This window comes from Homo sapiens, chromosome 1 (assembly GCF_000001405.40).
Source record: "Homo sapiens chromosome 1, GRCh38.p14 Primary Assembly".
NCBI classification, from domain to species: Eukaryota; Metazoa; Chordata; class Mammalia; order Primates; family Hominidae; genus Homo; species Homo sapiens.
The window spans coordinates 364,440-385,196 of record NC_000001.11 but is presented as its reverse complement, the minus strand read 5'-3'; the positions used below and the strand labels follow the sequence as shown (position 1 = coordinate 385,196).

The 20,757-nt window shown below is 51.0% G+C and overlaps 1 protein-coding gene across 1 annotated transcript; it reads left to right on the top strand.

The window, feature by feature from the left end:
* Positions 1-2,961: 2,961 nt before the first annotated feature.
* On the top strand, positions 2,962-20,063 carry LOC112268260 (uncharacterized). Its single transcript, XM_047436352.1, has 5 exons — positions 2,962-3,147; positions 3,509-4,300; positions 5,327-5,428; positions 11,874-12,053; positions 19,505-20,063. The coding sequence occupies exons 1-5, from the start codon at positions 2,962-2,964 to the stop codon at positions 19,640-19,642; spliced, it is 1,398 nt and encodes a 465-aa protein (XP_047292308.1). The 3' UTR covers positions 19,643-20,063.
* Positions 20,064-20,757: the final 694 nt, after the last annotated feature.

Below are 20,757 nucleotides of genomic sequence, written 5' to 3'. Positions count from 1 at the left end.
TTGCCAGTCCTGGCTGAGCTAATGGTGAAGTGAGAGCTGTGCCACAGATCCCATGGTTGGCTTTTTGTTGTTGTTATTTCAGATGGAGTTTCACTCGCCACCCAGGCTGGAGTGCAGTGGTGCAATCTTGGCTCACCACAATCTCCGCCTCCTGGGTTCAAGTGATTCTCCAGCCTCAGCCTCCCGAGTAGCTGGGACTACCAGCGCCCGCCACCATGCCTGGCTAATATTTTGTGTTTTTAATAGAGACGGGGTTTCACCATGTTGACCAGGCTGGTCTTGAACTCCTGACCTCAGGTGACCTGCCCACCTCAGCCTCCCAAAGTGCTGGGATTACAGGCGTGAGCCACTGCACCTGGCCCCGTGGTTGGCTTTTACTCCTTCCATTCTGCCACCCTGAAGCTGATCCTCTGGAATTTGCTTGTTTTTGGTGTGTCCAGAAATGAAGGTCTATCAGTTCTTGAAATTGGGTTGTTTTAAGTAACTGATGTGCTGGGATGACAGTGAAGAAGACAAGATAGGGATTCCTCTTCCTAAACTTTAGGGCCTGAAGGGACTCCTCATTGACAGCAGATGGGATTTTTAATTTCACTCTGGGATGGAGGAAGTGGAGAGGTGATCCAGGCTGGATTGAAATCTCTCAAGCCTGGGAGATTTTGCCCAAAGACTTTTGACATGGGAACAGTAGAAACATTGGGAAAATTGGACTTTCAGGTCAGCATTCTGGGTATTTCCCCAGTCTTCCCAGGGTGGGATCATCTGGCCCCAGTTATGGGAATAAGACCACATAAATAGAAGATGACTTGGGAAGTCATCTTCCCAAGGTGTCAGGGAGGAGGTGGAGGACCACTGTTCTGATCAGCCTCCTTCAACCTCACAGTGGGGTTGGTCTCAGATGGTGCCCAGGAACCTGCCAGCAGCGGCACTTTGATGGCACCAAGATCGTGGGTGCAGGGACCCAGATTTGCTTCCTACTCATGTCTCCCTACCCACTGAAAAATGGAATATCAGTGAGGAATATCTTAGAGGGCTGCCTTTGCTCCTTTTGCCAGAGAACCAATATTGGTTATTAACAATTGGGCCACATCTGGTGTGCAGAAAAATGAATATTTTAATAGTGCTTCATAGGGTATCGTAGCATCTTATAAAAAGTGGCCCATCAAATTATTGATTCAATCATTTAAAATGCATTAGCAGAGGATGCCTATCAGACTAAGACATCCATGTTTCTGATCCAGTGAAAAGGGTCCAGGTAAGGAACACATATGAAGCCTCTTGGCATCCTTGTGTGAGCACGGTGCATGACGTGGCCATCAGTATCATTGTTTTCTTTGAGTTTTTGCTTGAGTGTTGAGATGTGTGAGGGATAGAAGATCCTTGTTTGCTTCTAGTCCTGACCTACACTGTCCATTAGGGAAATAATTTGTTTTCTTGAACCCATTATATGAATAATTTTGTTTTTAATCAATAGAAACAAATGGTCTTTATTTAACTAACAGAAAAAATTCCAATGAGGCCAGGCCACATAGGGGTTTCTGTAAATGTCATATCATTTCTCTTCTGTCCCCTCAGCTAAGAGTATAAAAAGTTCAGGCGACCTCCAGGGGCTTTTGCCTACTTAAATAGTATTACTTAGAGATGAGCTAGTACTTGGTTTTAAAAGTAATTTTTTTTTTCTTTTTTGAGACGGAGTTTCGCTCTGGTCGCCCAGTCTGGAGTGCAATGGCACAATCTCGGCTCGCTGCAAGCTCCACCTCCCGGGTTCAAGAGATTCTCCTGCCTCAGCCTCCCAAGTAGCTGGGATTACAGGTGCCTGCCACCATGCCTGGCTAATTTTTGTATTTTTAGTAGAGACGGGGTTTCACCATGTTGGGCAGGCTGGTTTCAAACTCCTGACCTCAGGTGATCCGCCTGACTGAGCCTCCCAAAGTGTTGTGATTACAGGCGTTAGCCACTGCTCCTGGCCCTAAAAGTAACAGTTCTAAGCTTTGTACTTACGACACCAAAAACATACAGACTGACATCTAAGTAATTAAGTCAATCATTAAGATATTTAGTTATGTCATGCAAAATAATAATCTCCAAGGAGTTCTCAAAGAATTCAGTAGTTTGATGTTATTGCCAGCACAGCCTTTACTGAGTCCTCTTATAAATCTTAAAGAAAAATTTAAGATTTTTAATTTTTAAAGATTTAAAAATTTTTAATTAAATTTTTTTTTTAGGGCTGGACTCTTGGTCTGTCGTCCAGGATAGAGGGCAGGGATGCCATCACTACTCACTATAACCTCAAACTCCTGGGCTCAAGCAATCCTCCCACCTCAGCCTCCGGAGTAGCTGGGACTACAGGCATGCCCCACCACATTCGGCTAATTTTTAAAATTTTTTTGTAGAGACAGGGTCTCACTATATTGTCCAGGCTGCTCTCAAAATCCTGGCCTAAAGTGATCCTCCTGCCTCAGCCTCCTGAGTAGCTGGGTTAGATCCTGGCAAATGAAAGGGCCCCAGCTTTGAACTACCTTTGGGGACGATCTCACTGCACACGGGTTCTCACACAGCACACCCCGTCACACACATGAACTCACACTGAGAACATATGAACACTACACACATGTTCTCACACAGCACACGCCCCGTCACACCCATGAACTCACACCGAGAACACAACATCACACACAGGGACTCACGCACAGAGGACATGTGAACACTACACACACGTTCTCACACAGCACACCCCGTCACACCCATGAACTCACACCAAGAACACAACATCACACACAGGGACTCACGCACAGAGGACATGTGGACACTACACACACGTTCTCACACAGCACACGCCCCGTCACACTCATGAACTCACACCGAGAACACAACATCACACACAGGGACTCACGCACAGAGGACATGTGAACACTACACACACGTTCTCACACAGCACACACCCCGTCACACCCACACCCCCACATGCCTAGACACACACATCCTTACTCTGCGTGCATCCCTGGCCTGGTGGACGGAAGATCGAGCGCTCTGGGTGGACTTACGGCCACAGGACGGGGGCAGAGTCGGCAGGGAGGCCCCTCCGAGGCCCAGTGGGCCCTGCGCTGGCCCCGGCCGCAGACGCCCACCTGCTGCTGTGCTGGCTGCGGCGTGTGCCCCGGGCTCTGCGGCTGACCTGGCCTCCACGTCTCACCCATGAAGCAGGCATGAAAGGCTGGCCAGGTTGGCTAAATGGGACCACAGCAGAAGCATGAGCCCCAGAATGTGCACGAAGGAAGAGAGAGCCGGGGGAGGTGGCGGGCTGGGTGTGCAGAGTGGGCCTGAGCTCCGGCCTCCTCCCTGGACGCCCTCCCGTGGCCGCAGCCATCCCCGCACCCACTGGTGTGGCCTGACCCTTCACCCTGAGCCCACCCTTCGCGGCCACTAGGGAACCTCAGGAGAGGCCGCCGCGGTGGGGTGGGCGGATTCCCCCGGAGCAGGCCCAGGCCCCTGCTCCTGAGCTCTCCTGCAGCGCCGTCTGCTGGCCACAGAGAACCCACGTGCGCCGGCCGCCAGGCCTGGGCATCTCCTCTCCTGCAGCGCCGCCTGCTGGCCACAGAGAACCCGCGTGCGCCGGCCGCCAGGCCTGGGCATCTCCTCTCCTGCAGCGCCGCCTGCTGGCCACAGAGAACCCGCGTGCGCCGGCCGCCTGGCCTGGGCATCTCCTCTCCTGCAGCGCCGCCTGCTGGCCACAGAGAACCCGCGTGCGCCGGCCGCCTGGCCTGGGCATCTCCTCTCCTGCAGCGCCGCCTGCTGGCCACAGAGAACCCGCGTGTGCCGGCCGCCAGGCCTGGGCATCTCCTCTCCTGCAGCGCCGCCTGCTGGCCACAGAGAACCCGCGTGCGCCGGCCGCCTGGCCTGGGCATCTCCTCTCCTGCAGCGCCGCCTGCTGGCCACAGAGAACCCACGTGCGCCGGCCGCCTGGCCTGGGCATCTCCTCTCCTGCAGCGCCGCCTGCTGGCCACAGAGAACCCGCGTGCGCCGGCCGCCAGGCCTGGGCATCTCCCCGGGCCCTAGTTCCCCCCCTCACCTAAGGGGAGGGACTCCCGTCTTTCCATCCACCCCCTCCTTGCCTCTGCAGAGCTCCAGGGAAGGCTGGCACCCGCTCACTGCATTTAGACTCCATCAGGTTCAGACAGTGGGTCAGGGTACAAGGCTTCAGTGGCCAGGGATGTGGCCTCTAATTTGTAGAGAGAAAGAAGGGCAGAGGCAAAGGTTTGGGCCCAGGGACTGGGCTCCGTTTCCAGAATCACTCTTGGAGCTGGTGAGCAGAGGGCTGGACACTGCCCTCCATGACCAGCACTGCCCTCCACCCTAGCTCACTCCCCTAGCTGGCCCAGGGGTTCAGGCTTTCCTTTCATAAAGTGGGGTCGAGGAAAGGCAAAACCTCCTCCCCTGGGCCACACGAACCGTGGTGCACAGGCTCCCACTAGGTGGGCCAGTCAGCTCATCCCATGGACACACCAGGGGCATCGAGAAAGGAATAGCGACCTGAACCCCATACCCGAAGGGTGGCCCTCAGGACCCCCAAGGCAGGGAACAGGCTGCAGAGGGTTTGGGGGAGCATCTTGGTGCATAGAAAACAAACACTCTGGGAAGCCGCTGTGAGTGTGTGTGGCTCTCAGGCCTGTTCTGTCCTGGGTGCGCTGCGTTCCCCAGGCGGCACCATCTCTCTGCCTCTGTACCCTTGAATTCCCTCTGCCTGCACCCGGTCCCCACCCACCTCCTGCCCAGCCCCACAAGCCCTTCCAGACCACTGCTGGGGCATTCCTGGGCCCCCTCGGTTCTTGGTGACTACCATGCAGTTCTCTATGGAAACTGACTCTCACTGAAAACAAGTGTAACCGTCTACCTAAGAGACTCACACAGAGTTCTCAGCCAGGTCTCCAGGACAATCAGACGCAACTTGTCATTCTCACTCATCCCATCACCCGACTAGCTTCTCAGCCCAGCCCTGGGGGAGGTTTTCCCCTTACTTGAAATGTCTCTTGGATTTGAAAAATCCCAGCGTTCACCCCTGGTGCCGACACTTGCCTCTGTAACCTTCTGCCTGCTGCTTTGCTCTCATCCAGACCGGTTGGCACTTGGCCCCCTCTGGCCAGCTGGTTCCCCAGAGACAACCATCTTGCCCACCTTGTGGAAGGCCCCATGGCCTGCCTCACCCCTCACTCCCATTTCACAGCTCTCGTGGTGCTCTACAAGAAAAATCTGCTTTATAGATGAGGAAAGACCCTTGGGGCAGACAAGACAGTCCCTGTTTGACATAATTCCTTTATCTCTTCTCCCCCAGCTCTGCTGCCCCCTGCCCCATACACGTGATGGAGCAGAAAACGTGCTGTGTGAACCTGTGACTTCAGGGCCTGTTGACGTGGTCGTGCTTGCATACTCTCTGGTGAGGGGTGGGGAGAGGGGGTGGGAGACGGGTAGAAATAGATGAAGTAGATGATGGGTGGATTGCTGGCTAGATAGATGATAGATAGGGATAGGTGGTATATGGGTGATAGGTAACAGGTGATGGATAGATGATAGAAATAGATGATGGATAGATACTTGATAGGCAAATTAGATAATAGATAGCAATAGATGAACTAGATGATAGATGGAAAGGTAGGTAGGTAGATATATGATAGATGGTTGATAGATAAAAATAGATGAAATAGATGGCATGGTTAGATAGGTGGGTAGGTAGATAGATGACAGATAGAAAGACAATAGACCACTGGGGGCTGAGCCTGGCCTGAGCCAGAAAGGTGAGAAGGGGACAGCGGTGAGGACCCCACAGGTCCCTGCTCTCACCCCTATTAGCCCCAGTGTTTGGCCTGAGCTCTGACTGACAGCTCCCTCTTTCCGAGATGAGACTCAAGAGGAGGAAGAGGGGACTTCCTAAGGACAGGGATTCTTGGTGTCTCCTTGGGGGTGGTAGACACTGCCTGCCTCGCCTGCTGTGGCCTCTCTGCACACAACCAACGACCCCTAAAGGGCTCCATGGGCGCCCATGCTGCCCCCATCAGCTGACACCCCCTGTGCGAAGATTCTCCTCCTCCTCTTCCTCCTGCCTTTCTGTCCCCTCATCCTCCTCTTTATGGAATTAACTTCCCTTGGTCAACATCTTCCTGCTTCACTCACTTCCCTAAACTCCTCCCTATCCCTTCTCAATCTGCAAGAAAAATGTAGAAAGAATATGGTAAAGGAAAGCTTTGAGCCCATATTTGGGTCCAATGCCGACACCACATGCCCCAAAGCCCCCTTGAGAGCATCCACGTCCGTGTAGTTGAGTATTGCCCGAGCTGGAGTGAGATTTGCCTCTCTACGGAGCTGCCTTCCTGCAGTTCAAGAGCACTGTCTCTTTTCTGGGCCTCCTGCCTGGTGCAAGGGCCCCAGCTGAGCCTCCTCCAGCTCTGACCTCTGGTGGTTCCGGGCTGCCCCAGAGGGTCTTGCCCAGGCTCTGACACTTGGCATGGTCTGGGAGCTCCAGCAGCCACAGCCCAGCCCTGGGGAGGCTTTGTGGTCTCTGAGGGGGCAGGTGCACTCCCCCAACTCCAGTTCATGTTTTTCCCTCCAACTCTAAGCCTTTTTCTTCCTCTGCTATTACCCAGGCACCCTACCCTGTCAACAACACTGGCCTTCAAGACCCTTTGTAGCATAACTCCCACCTATAACTCCCACCTGAAGCCAGCCCTTCCCACCTCTGCGCCTCTGATGCCCAGGACAGCTCTGACCATGGGCAGCTCTGACCCAGGACAGCTCTGACCTTGGGCAGCCCTGATCTGGGGCAGCTCTGACCTCGAGTAGCTGTGACCCTGGGCAGCTCTGACTCTGGGTAGTCGTGACCCTGGGGAACTCTCAGCACGGGGGTTGCATGCTCCTGTTTAGACAGCTGCTGTCCCCCAAGCTGGCTCACTATCCCATGTTGGAGTGCACTGTTCGGGGCTGCCTGCCTGGATTGATGCAGGGAAACTTGGTTCCAGCCCACCTCCTCCTGCGGAGGCTGAGTCAGGGGCTCTTCCCTCGGCCAGGCTGAAAGGCAGCTGTTGGTCCCCCTGTGAGGTCTTCCACATGGCCTGGGAGAGTCTCCCCATCTCTTCAGGCAGAAGGGAGGACAGTCCATAATGTTCCTTCCAGTCCTCTGACTTGTCATTTTTCTACCCCAAATCTTGCACTTTAACCCCATAGAGAGCTCCTGAAGGGGGAATTTTAACTGGCAAAACTCAGAACTCCATCCAAACACAACCGAAACCATCCTGGGTGGCTTAGAGGTGGCTGCCTCCCAGACAAGTCCATAGCCCCACAGAAACGTCTGGTCCTTCACCTGCCAGAGCTCAGGCTTTTTGGTTGAAGCCGGAGACAGGCCCAGCTCAGAGTGTGCCCCGGTTTATCCTGAACACCGACTTGGTGCGGTGTGTGTGACAGACCAGCGAAGCGGGTCTTGCTGCCTGTCCTGTGGTTGGCCCTTGGCTCCCAGCCTCGAGTCCTACCCTTAGGCCAGGTCAGAGCAGGTTCAGCAGCAGGACTGGCTAGGCACCACCCAGGCTCATGAGGTGGCTTTGTGGGGAGGAAATGAGGTTTTTTTTTTTCCTCTTGTAAAGTTGCTTGTTGTTAATTTAAAATTTTAATTTCATTTCTGAATTAACATTCAGCAAAACTGCTATTTTTTGGTGTACAGTTCTATGAGTTTAACACATTTATAGATTCATGTAGCAACACTGTGGATACAGAACAGTTACATCACCCCCAGAACTCCGTTCACAGTCACGCTCCCCGACCCAGCCCCGGCAGCTCTCCCTGTGGTTTGTCTTTTGCAGAGGAAATCCCGCAGCTGGCGGCACCTGGAGACCGGCTCCTCGCCGAGCCGACCGCGCGTGCGCGGCTCCCTCCTCGTCCGTGCTGAGCGCCGCGTGGGGTTCCGCGTGGAGGCGCCTGTGCCGCTGAAGCGTGTTTGGGTTGCTTCCAGGGTGGGATGGTTGTTGGATAGAGCTGTTTGTGCATTTGCGTTGTAGGTTTTTGTGTGAACATAAGCTTTTGTTTCTCTCGGGTACATACCCAGAAGTGCAATTGCTGAGTCATGTGGGAAGCGTGTGCCCAACTTTACAGGAAAACACCACAGGCCGCCCCTTCGCTTTGCGCTCCCGCTAATCGGGAATGAGTGCCTGCTGCTCCGCGTTCTTGCGGGCACCCAGCATTTTCCGTGCTTACATTTCAGCCATCCCGGAATGAATGAAAAGCGTTTCCTAGTGGCTGTAATTTGCATCTCCCTGGTGGCTGATGGAAGCTTATTTCCCATCCATATCCCTTGCTTGGTGACGCATCTGTTCAAGTCCTTCCCCGGTTTGTAACTGGATTATTTGGTGTTTTTACTGTTGGATTTTGAGAGTTCTTTATGTATTCTAGATACAATTCCTTTGCCAGATATGAGATTCACAAATATTTTCTCCAACTCTATGTCTTGTGTTTTCATTCTCTCAACAGTGACTTTTGCAGCATTCATAGGGATTTTATGTTTTCTTCTCAAAGTTTTATAAACCACTATATTTAAAATTTTAATTTAAAAACTATAAACCTATTATAGTTTTTAAATTAAACTGTAAACCTCTTATATAGATTTTCTGTTTAAACTTATGATTCCTTTTAAGTTAATTATTATGTAAGTTGTGAGGGTTGGGTCAAGGCATTCCTTTGCTTAAAATCCCCAGCTTTTCATTTCTCTCAGACAGAAGTCTTGACCTGCAGGGTCAGGCTCCCCTGCTCTCTGAGCTCGCCCTCCCCACGCAGCGCTAGCCCCTGGACTATTCTCACCACTCAGGCCTTGGCCTCCATACCCGCTTGGCACCCACCAAAGGGTCCGGGGACCCCTCCACAGGGCAGCGTTCTGTCTGTGAGGTGAAGCGGGAGCAGAGGGCCAGGCAGAGCCAGGCTGGGACCCAATCTCTGCTTCAGGCTGGTCTTTTTTTTTTTTTTTTTTGAGACGGAGTCTCGCTGTCGCCCAGGCTGGAGTGCAGTGGCGCGATCTCGGCTCACTGCAAGCACCGCCTCCCGGGTTCACGCCATTCTCCTGCCTCAGCCTCGCGCGTAGCTGGGACTACAGGTGCCTGCCACCATGCCTGGCTAATTTTTTGTATTTTTAGTAGAGACGGGGTTTCACCGTGTTAGCCAGGATGGTCTTGATGTCCTGACCTTGTGATCTGCCCGCCTCGGCCTCCCAAAGTGCTGGGATTACAGGCGTGAGCCACCGCACCTGGCCAGGCTGGTCTTTTTTGCCAGAGTTAGTGTTGTATTGAGGGACATGGAGGGAGAAAAGGGGGTCAGTTAGGGGCAAGTTTACTTGTGCAGGTAACCAGGGTGAGGGCTCGAGGGGAGAAGAGAGATAAGGAGGGCAGAGCTCAGCCAAGTTGGCCTGATGACATGACCAGAATGTGATCACTAGATCCCCTGCCTGGAGGCCCAAGTGTGGCCCCAGGTCTGGATAGTTGCAGCCACTGTGGGGAAGCTTCAGTTTGGGAGCCACAGAAACCAAGAATATTGTCTGGGAAGCTGATGTGCAGAGAGGAGAATGGAGCGGATGGAGGTGCGGTGGGGGAGAGAGACAAAGAGACAGAGAGGAGAGTAAAAGCCTGTTGCTGGCTCCACTATGTTGGGCTTGTCAGCCCAGCTTCTTCTTGTCCCATCCATAAAATGGGCTGGTGTCGCCCATCCTGGTTAGGAGGCACAAGGAAGTGTTGCGCTGTGTGCTCGGCCCAGCTGACTCAGCAGCTCTCCAACCTTGGGGACTCTCCAGACAGGTGTGTGCAGGTGAGGTGCTGGACCAAGGAAGGGCAGGTGGAGGACATGGCCGAGGGGAGCTCTGTGAGCTGAGCTGCCTGCTTCGAGGGTGCCCTTGAGGCCCAGGACTGACCCCTGGAGGGAGAGGCTTCCTTCCTTCTGTTGGGGCTCAGAAAACAACGCCCCAAAATGAAGTCCTCAGCAGCAGCCTCAGAAGCAAAAGTTGTCTCTGACCTTCTCCTGCCCTCCTGTCTCTCAGTCTCATTCTCCCCGAAGGCGCTGTAGAAACCAGACTCTCTTTTTCCCCAAGGCCGGTCACAGAAATCAGAACCCCTTCTCCCCAAAGCTGGTCAGAAAACCTAAAAATATTACTCAGTTTTCCGTCTACCTTTCTATATAAGAGCTGACTAGAGAGAAATGATCCAACATCCCTTGTTTGACTGTAGGTCATGAGACTGTCATTCCAGAGAGGGCCCTGCCCCACGTCCAGAGAAGAAAATGCTCAGAGACGAAGACAAATCTAGACAGACCTTGCTGGGTTCCCACTCAGTCTATTCACATTAGATCAAGCCCTTTGTGTCCAATCCTTTTTTTAGAGGACTGTTCATACGTTATTAAACCTAAACATAAAAATGGACAATTTCCCCCATCGTTGGGTCTTCGTTCTAAAGGTTCTTATATGTACACATCACATAAATTTGCATACCGTTTCTCCTATTAATCCATCTGTCTCATGTCAGTGACTTCTCAGCAAACCTTTAGGGGCCAAGGGGCCCCACACTCTCCAGCGGCAGGCACAATGGGCCTGGGGTGCAGTTGTGGACACTCGGACCCTCCTTGGAGCTGGTTTAGCTGTGCTGTGTGCTTGTGGGAATGGATTGCCATGATTTCTGGGCTCTAATAAATTGTGCTTCAATCGACTCTTGAGGAGTTAATGAGAGGCCTCACTTCAGACCATAAACACCCTCCCTGTGTGGGATAGAAACACACATCGTCACAGCCAGGAGGTCAGTCGGGTGAGGGTCTGCTTTGCTTACAAGGTCCAGAAACCCAGCAGAAAACCCTCGAGGCCACATCAGTGAAGAGTAACTTATTTCAGCAACATTTCCATGTGTGACACAAGACACACATTTCCTGCATCCACCTTTAAAGTCAAGAAGTTGAAGCTGAATAAAGCCAGCAGGCAGCGAAAATCACCTGCACTCAGTTCAGTTGTGGCAGGAAAGGGAAAGAGCCATGAAGAAAGGAGAGGGGGATGGAGAGGGAGAAAGGAGAGGGGGATGGAGAGGAGAAAGGAGAGGGGGATGGAGAGGGAGAAAGGAGAGGGGGATAGAGAGGAGAAAGGAGAGGGGGCTAGAGAGGAGAAAGGAGAGGGAGATGGAGAGGGGGATGGAGAGGGGGATGGAGAGGAGAAAGGAGACGGGGATGGAGGGGGGATGGAGAGAAGAAAGGAGAGGAGGGTGGAGAGCGACAGCTGCAGAGGGAGGCAGGGAGGCTGGCTGGGCGTGGACAGCTGCAGAGGGAGGCAGGGGAGGCCGGCTGGGCATGGACACTGCAGAGGGGACACAGCCACTCTGGGAACAGCAGCCAGTGGCGGATCTGCCTGGAATGCTGTTCCCTCCTGTCCAGGATGGGCCTGTCTCTGCAGACAGGGGCCCTCCCCTTCCTGGCCTGGCTGTGCACTCCCCATGTGCATGGTGGAAGCTCTGCAGAGGCCGTTCTGCTCCAGAGTGGGGCATAGCCTCGGGCGAGGTTCACAGCTTGGGGGGCTGGTCCTGCCCTGTCCCACATGTGGCTGTGTGGGCAGCATGGATCTTCTTCCGCGGTGACCCTGTGTGCCCACCCCCCCCAACTTATGCCTGCTTCCCAAGGCCATGGGCCTCACCCTCAGACTTCACTTTTGTGTATATGGAAAGACACAATTATCGGGACAGAAACAGATCAGTATTTGCCAGTGGGTGAGTGAGGGGAGAGGAGTTTACTACCGAGGGGCCGAACTGGGGCCATTTTTGAGGGATGAAAGTCTTCTGTGTGGCTCTACAGAGTTGGGTACGTGATGCTGTGCTTGTCAAACCCCACAGGACTGGACCTCACTGTGGGAACAACAAGATCAACAAGAGGAGCAAGAACAACATCAAGAGTCAGGGCCCGGGGGTCCTGACGGGTACAGGACGGGTACAGACCCACACAGGAATCCCAGAGTGTGTTCCACAGCAGGACACGCCTGCGCTGAAAGAGTGGGCAGAAAGGAGCTGACCTGGGTAAGTCCAAAAACAGTGTTTTGATTAGATTCTGGAAAGAATCAAATAACTCTGCATATCTAAGCACTAAACTCCAATTGGTAAAATTGTTTCCCACAGCAATACATGTTAGCAACTTTGAAACTACTTTTATATATACTAAGGTTTCACAAATAAGTCAATACAGTAGTAAGAGTCAGGGTTCTCACAGCTGGATAAGGAAGTCATGGAAAAGCCAGCGGGGACCCTGAGGTCCATATATAATATATATTATACATATATACAGATCAGAATGGACCCTAAGGTGGTCGGTTATAGACAGATATGCCAGCAGGAACTCATGTTTACATGATACATATATACAGATCAGAATGGACCCTGAGGACCATATATAATATATATTATACATATATGCAGATCAGAATGGACCCTGAGGTCCATATATAATATATATTATACATATATACAGATCAGAATGGACCCTAAGGTGGTCGGTTATAGACAGATATGCCAGCAGGAACTCATGTTTACATGATACATATATACAGATCAGAATGGACCCTGAGGACCATATATAATATATATTATACATATATACAGATCAGAATGGACCCTAAGGTGGTCGGTTATAGACAGATATGCCAGCAGGAACTCATGTTTACATGATACATATATACAGATCAGAATGGACCCTGAGGTCCATATATAATATATATTATACATATATGCAGATCAGAATGGACCCTGAGGTCCATATATAATATATATTATACATATATACAGATCAGAATGGACCCTGAGGTGGTCAGTTATAGTCAGATATGCCAGCAGGAACTCGTGTTTACATGATACATATATACAGATCAGAATGGACCCTGAGGTGGTCGGTTACAGTCAGATATGCCAGCAGGAACTCGTGTTTACATGATACTTATATACAGATCGGAATGGACCCTGAGGTGGTCAGTTATAGTCAGATATGCCAGTAGGAACTCGTGTTTACATGATACATACATACAGATCAGAATGGACCCTGAGGTGGTCAGTTATAGTCAGATATGCCAGTAGGAACTCATGTTTACATGATACATATATACAGATCAGAATGGACCCTGAGGTGGTCGGTTATAGTCAGATATGCCAGCAGGAACTCGTGTTTACATGATACATATATACAGATCAGAATGGACCCTGAGGTGGTCGGTTACAGTCAGATATGCCAGCAGGAACTCGTGTTTACATGATACTTATATACAGATCGGAATGAACCCTGAGGTGGTCAGTTATAGTCAGATATGCCAGTAGGAAATCATGTTTACATGATACATATATACAGATCAGAATGGACCCTGAGGTGGTCGGTTACAGTCAGATATGCCAGTAGGAAGTCGTGTTTACATGATACATATATACAGATCAGAATGGACCCTGAGGTGGTCAGTTATAGTCAGATATGCCAGCAGGAACTCATGTTTACATAATACATATATACAGATAGGTTAAATATATACACACACACGTGCGTGTGCATACATGGCTTAGCACACACATCTGTAGATCCTGGGTTTGTCCTTTGAGAGGGGACACCCCAGTAGCAGCAAGCACATTCCATGCCCAGATGTTAGTTTCTAAATTTCATCTTCAATAAAAGGAGCCAAGTCTCCCTGGAGAAATGGCTGATAATTGGGATGTGGGAGAGAAAATACAAGATGAACCTGGAGCATCTTGTAGTCCCAGGAAGTAAGAAAATGCTCAAAAATAAAATTTTTAAAAAGCTGTGGGCATTTCAAAAGGGCATGGAACCCAAAATGTAAGAGCTCCCAGTGGCCACAGCTACAATGATTTGAGTGCACACACACTCACACAGACATACACACACACACACACACAAATCGGATTATGCCCCAAAGAATAAAATGAATGTCCATGGATTTGTAAGCATATAAATAAATTATTGAATAAATTAAAACTGAAAGGGTAGCCGGGCGAGGTGGCGAGCGCCTGTAGTCCCAGCTACTCGGGAGGCTGAGGCAGGAGAATGGTGTGAGCCCGGGAGGTGGAGCTTGCAGTGAGCCAAGATCACGCCAATGCACTCCAGCTGGGGTGACAGAGCAAGACTCTGTCTCAAAAACAAAACAAAACAAAACAAAACAAAAAACTGAAAGGGACAGGCCTTTCTTGGAACAAATTCCAAACAAGAAATGTGGAGTAAATAGGGAAAATCACCATCAGGCTGGGCACAGTGGCTCGTGCCTGTAATCTCAACACTTCGGGAGGCTGAGGCAGGTGGATCTCCTGAGGTCAGGAGTTCGAGACCAGCCTAGCCAACATTGTGAAACCCTGTCTCTACAAAAAAATACAAAATTAGCTGGGCCTGGTGACACATGCCTGTAATCTCAGCTACTTGGGAGGCTGAGGCAGGAGAATCGCTTGAACCCGGGAGGTTGCAGTGAGCTGAGATTGTGCCACTGCACTCCAGCCTGGGCAATAAGAGCAAAACTCTGTCTCAAAAAAAAGAAAGAAAGAAAGAAAAGAAAAGAAAAAAAAGAAAATCACCATCAGTGCTGCAGGCAAGCTCCCCTGAGGAATGCTAAAATTCCTGTGCAAAGTTTAAGGAGAAAGAAGATATTTGTATACTGTCAAAGTGTCTCCCCTAAATGTTCAGTAATTACCATGGTGCCCAAATTCTTTGATGCTCCTTCCTGTGGGAGTTGGAGCTCATGCTGGACTTCATGACTCACTCTTAACCAGCAGGACATGGAGAGGAAAACAGTCACTCTCCCGTGGGGAGACCTGGCAGGCCTCACCTTGGCCGTGTGATCAAGGTCCAGACCACCAGTGATGAGGCATGTTGACATCGTGGCCCCTGAGAGCACGTGATGAGAAGAGCGCTCCACCTCTGCCGTGTTCTTACGCAAACGCACAGTTCCAGTGTAATCAGAGAGAACATCACACACACACCAATTGAGGGGCATCTTGCAGAATACCTGAGCAGCACTCTGCAAAGCTGTCAAGGCAGTGAAACGAAGACAGGCCAGGAAAGGGTCACAGGTGCAGGGGACTAAGGAGGCGTGAGGGCCAGTGCAGCCTGGGGTCCTGGACGTGAGCTGCTGAGACGGCACCCGCGTGAGTGTCGCAGTTTCCACACCGTGAGCTGCTGAGACGGCACCCGCGTGAGTGTCGCAGTTTCCACACCGTGAGCTGCTGAGACGGCACCCGCGTGAGTGTCGCAGTTTCCACACCGTGAGCTGCTGAGACGGCACCCGCGTGAGTGTCGCAGTTTCCACACCGTGAGCTGCTGAGACGGCACCCGCGTGAGTGTCGCAGTTTCCACACCGTGAGCTGCTGAGACGGCACCCGCGTGAGTGTCGCAGTTTCCACACCGTGAGCTGCTGAGATGGCACCCGCGTGAGTGTCGCAGTTTCCACACCGTGAGCTGCTGAGATGGCACCCGCGTGAGTGTCGCAGTTTCCACACCGTGAGCTGCTGAGATGGCACCCGCGTGAGTGTCGCAGTTTCCACACCGTGAGCTGCTGAGATGGCACCCGCGTGAGTGTCGCAGTTTCCACACCGTGAGCTGCTGAGATGGCACCCGCGTGAGTGTCGCAGTTTCCACACCGTGAGCTGCTGAGATGGCACCCGCGTGAGTGTCGCAGTTTCCACACCGTGAGCTGCTGAGATGGCACCCGTGTGAGTGTCGCAGTTTCCACACCGTGAGCTGCTGAGATGGCACCCGTGTGAGTGTCGCAGTTTCCACACCGTGAGCTGCTGAGATGGCACCCATGGGAGTGTCGCAGTTTCCACACCGTGAGCTGCTGAGATGGCACCCGCGTGAGTGTCGCAGTTTCCACACCGTGAGCTGCTGAGATGGCACCCGCGTGAGTGTCGCAGTTTCCACACCGTGAGCTGCTGAGATGGCACCCGTGTGAGTGTCGCAGTTTCCACACCGTGAGCTGCTGAGATGGCACCCGTGTGAGTGTCGCAGTTTCCACACCGTGAGCTGCTGAGATGGCACCCATGGGAGTGTCGCAGTTTCTACACCGTGAGCTGCTGAGATGGCACCCGTGTGAGTGTCGCAGTTTCCACACCGTGAGCTGCTGAGATGGCACCCGTGTGAGTGTCGCAGTTTCCACACCGTGAGCTGCTGAGATGGCACCCATGGGAGTGTCGCAGTTTCTACACCGTGAGCTGCTGAGATGGCACCCACGTGAGTGTCGCAGTTTCCACACCGTGAGCTGCTGAGATGGCACCCGTGTGAGTGTCGCAGTTTCCACACCGTGAGCTGCTGAGATGGCACCCACGTGAGTGTCGCAGTTTCCACACCGTGAGCTGCTGAGATGGCACCCGTGTGAGTGTCGCAGTTTCCACACCGTGAGCTGCTGAGATGGCACCCGTGTGAGTGTCGCAGTTTCCACACGTGCATCATTGCTGTGTAAGATGCTCAAGTGAGAGGAAGCTGGTGAACGGGTCTGTGGGAAGTTGCAGTACTGTCTTTGCAACTCTTCTGGACATCTTTTTTTTTTTTTTAAATAAAACATTTTTAACATGAAAATATGCAGAGCACGGTGGCTCGCACCTGTAATCCCAGCACTTTGGGAGGCCGAGGCAGGTGGATCATGAGGTCAGGAGTTCAAGACCAGCCTAGCCAACATGGTGAAACCCCGTCTCTACTAAGAATACAAAAATTAGCTGGGCGTGGTGATGGGCATCTGTAATCCCAGCTACTCGGGAGGCTGAGGCAGGAGAATCACTTGAACCCGGGAGGCAGAGGTTGCAGTGAGCCGAGATCGCGCCCCTGCACTCCAGCCTGGGTGACAGAGCAAGACTCCATCTCAAAAAAAATAAAGGAAATATGCGTCGTTGGATGCTGTATGACAATCAAGCTACTTATAACAAACAAAATTGAGAATGAAGGTAAATTAAAAATAATTTATAGTCTTTAAAAAGCAGGAACTACAAAATTTACATTTCTGAAAATGGCAGAAAAATCCCACATGGCTGTATATGTATGTGTGAGATTGTGTATGAATGAGCGCATGCATATATTTTTGTGTGTTTGGATTATATGTGTGACGGTGTGCATGAGTGTGTATATGATTTGGGGGTATGTGTGAGTGTGTATGACTGTGTGTATGAGTGTGTATGATTTGTGTGTGTGAGTGTGTACATGTATACACTAGTGTGCGTATGATTTGGGGGTATGAATGTGAATGTGTACATATGTATTTATGATCTGAGTGTGTATGAGTGTGAATGTGAACATGTGTGTGTGAGTGGGTATATGATTTGGGTGTGTGCAAGTATGAATATGTATTGTGTGCATTAATGTGTATATTTTGGGCTGTGTATGAGTGAATGTGAACATGTGTGCACGAGTGTATATATGATCTGGGTGTGTATGAGTGAGCATGAGTGAACATGTGTGCATGAATGTGAGTATGATTTGGGTGTGTATGAGTGTGAATGTGTGCACGAGTGTATATATGATCTGGGTGTGTATGAGTGAGCATGAATGTGAACATGTGTGCATGAATGTGAACATGTGTGCATGAATATATGATTTGGGTGTGTATGAGTGTGAATGTGTGCACGAGTGTACAATCGGTGTGTATGAGTGAGCATGAATGTGAACATGTGTGCACGAGTGTATATATGATCTGGGTGTGTAGGAGTGAGCATGAATGTGTATGCACAAGTGTGTGTATGTGTGTATGATCTGGGTGTGTAGGAGTGTGAATACGAACACGTATGCACAAGTATGTATATGATCTGTGTATGTATGAGTGAGTGTGAATGTGTGCATAAGTGTGTGTATGATCTGGGTATGAGTGATTGTGAATGTGAGCATGTGTGCACGAGTGTGTATATGATCTGGGTGTGTGGGAGTGAGCATGAATGTGTATGCACAAGTGTGTGTATGTGTGTATGATCTGGGTGTGTAGGAGTGTGAATATGAACACGTGTGCACAAATGTGTATATGATCCGAGTATGTAGGAGTGAGTGTGAATGTGAACATGTTTGCACGTGTGTATATGATATGGGTGCATGTGTGGGTGTGTTTGTGCAGGTGCACTGGGAGCTTTCAGCATTGAGTCTGTGTGGCATCCAGGCTTTTCTGGATGATGTAGAATCAAACCCCATAATTAATTCCAGTAACTTAGAAATTTTCACTTATGAATACTAAATTCTCCTCACCTAGCAACTGACTGAGCAGGTTGAACAGCACCCTTCGCCGTTCTCCTGCAGAACCCCGTGGAAGGGCCCTGCTTTCTCAGAGTGCTCCTAGCGGTGATGAGGGAGCCCAGCTCATTGCGGTTCGTGCAGAAGGCTGTGTGCCATCTCCGGGACTGCACGGAGAGGCGGAGGCTCAGGCGTGGGATCTGAGCTCAGTGGGCCCTTTAAGGACCGCTGCCTCCTTTCCTCCCTTTGGCATTCAGCATCGACTTACGATGGCTCCCAGTCACAGTCCTTGTCACTGCCTGGCATTACACAGGGCCACAGTCCCTTAACTGAAACACTTGGGACCAGTTGCATTTTGGAATTTGGAATGTTTCTTGATTTCAGAGAGAGAAGAGGGGATGGACTGTTGGGCAGCCCTGATTAACCCTGCAGCGTCTTGGCTCTAGAGGGGCCTACACGGCTGGGAGCGTCTCGGCTCTAGAGAGGGGCCTGCACTGCCGGGAGCATCTCAGCTCTAGAGAGGGGCCTGCACTGCTGGGAAGCCTACACGGCTGGGAGCGTCTCGGCTCTAGAGCCACAGCTGATGCATGGCAACGATGAGCTCTCCTGCTTAGTGCTGATGTGCCTCAGCCCCTAACCCCACTGGTGTCCAGATGAGGAACTTGAGGCTCAGAGAAGCTAGGTCAAGGTGAACACCAGTGTTGAGTTTCAGCCCCAGGTCTACCTGATGCTGCCTCCACATTGACTGAGTTGGCCTGGTCCATTGTGAGGTCAGGTAGAGCCAGGGCCGAGGTGGGGATGCCAAGGTCCCATGCCGCAAAGATGGGTGGGACGGCACAGGAGCCAGTCATCATCCCCAAAGACACAGCTCCGAATACCTCATCCTGAAATCCCAAAGATCAAAATCCCAAAAGTATAAATCTGGAAAAAATAATGTCGATGTTATTTATTTACATTTTTAAAAGGTATGTATTTGAGAAACATAAAAACACAACAGAACATTTCATAGGCCACTTTACACAATAAAATAGGCAATGATAACAGGTATTTTTGCATAAACACTGAGGTAACTAACGACGGCGGCATGGGTGTAGCAGTTATAAGAAGACAGACCATAAAGAAATAAGTCAAAAGAGAAACGTGTACACGTATATCGCTACGGTTACTAATTGTGTGCACCTAGCCCTGTAGCTGTGGTCATCTGAAATATCAGGGATTTTAGACTTGAGGGATTTTGATCTTTAGGGATTTCAACATTCCACATTATGGTGCTTGGGATTGTGTCTTTCAGGATTATGATCCAAACTCAGCTGGGCCTCCCCTCCCTGCCCCAGGATTGTGGAGTGAGAACGTTGCAGCAGGAGAGAACAACGCAGCAAAGCACAGCAGGGGAACCGGAAATGCTCACCTTTTGACAGGGTACTTTTAGTTCTGGGGCCTTATCTTAAGGATATTCCAACATATACAAAAAGATTCATGCACAGAGATATTTACTTTAGTATTATTTACCATAGGAAAAAAGTTGGAAACAATACATTTTATGTTCTGTAAAATGAAAGAACAGTTAAATAAATCATGGCTCTAAGACGACTCCAGGGCTGTGTACGGAAGTTCAGGGACAGAATCAGTTGAGGCTGTTCCACCTGAGCCTAAGGTTCCTCTGCTGTATGTCGGGAATCAGGTGGGGGCCAAGCGAGATCACCACAGTGCAGGCCAGTGTGCAGGGCACAGGTGGGCGCCAGGGAGGGGACGCCGCACAGCCCCATGCTCTCGCCAAAAACGTGCAGCACAATTTGGAAGAAAACGTTTCCATCTGTTAATAAAGAGCAACGGCCTCTGGTCATAAGTGACACATGACCCTTTGCCTGAGTCTTTTTAAATTTTTCCATATGTTCCATATTTTCTACACCAAATGTAAGCTACTTTCATAATCACAAAAACTTAATGGAAAGAGGAGGAGGAGGACGGGGGTGGGGAGTAGTAGCCATGGGTTCGAGCCCTTCCTCTCCGCATGACTTGGATAACACGGTATATTCACACAGCTATTTCCCCATCTATGAACTTCTGAGGTGCTTTTATTAGTTGATGTCTGGGACCCCTAGGAGCTCTCTTTATACCTCATGATATCAAATGCCCACCTTTCCAGCTCCTCTTGGCCTCCTGCCCTTCCTGGAGGGAGATGCGCTCCCTGGAGCTGCTGACTAGGTGGAAGCAGACTGGCTCCTTCAGTGGGTAGGCCAGCCTGCCTGTCTCCCTAGCCCAGTCCCACCGTGCTGGCCTCAGTGGTGGAGGCAGGCATGGAGCCTTGGAGGAACCACTCCTCCCCAGCCGCCACCAACATTTGTGGCACCGAGAAGCACCCGTGCTATTCCGGACAGGGATGGGGTTGGACACCCATGCATAGGGGACCCTACACTCCTAGGCTTGGCTCTGGGCTAAACAGCAGGTGTGGATTTGGGCCTAGGCCTCGGAGAAGCCATCAGCTAGGGCAGAATTCCCATGTGGGCAGGATGTTATTTAGGAATTCCAGGGCTTTCTGTATTC

What these genes read in the sequence shown, in the direction of transcription:
- LOC112268260 (XM_047436352.1), top strand. Translation starts at nt 2,962, where the DNA reads ATGCCTAGACACACACATCCTTACTCTGCGTGCATCCCTGGCCTGGTG. An exon ending in GCTGCTGTGCTGGCTGCGGC is followed by an intron (nt 3,148 to 3,508) that starts GTGTGCCCCGGG and finishes GCTCTCCTGCAG; the next exon opens with CGCCGTCTGCTGGCCACAGA. An exon ending in GCAGAAAGGAGCTGACCTGG is followed by an intron (nt 12,054 to 19,504) that starts GTAAGTCCAAAA and finishes TGTGTCTTTCAG; the next exon opens with GATTATGATCCAAACTCAGC.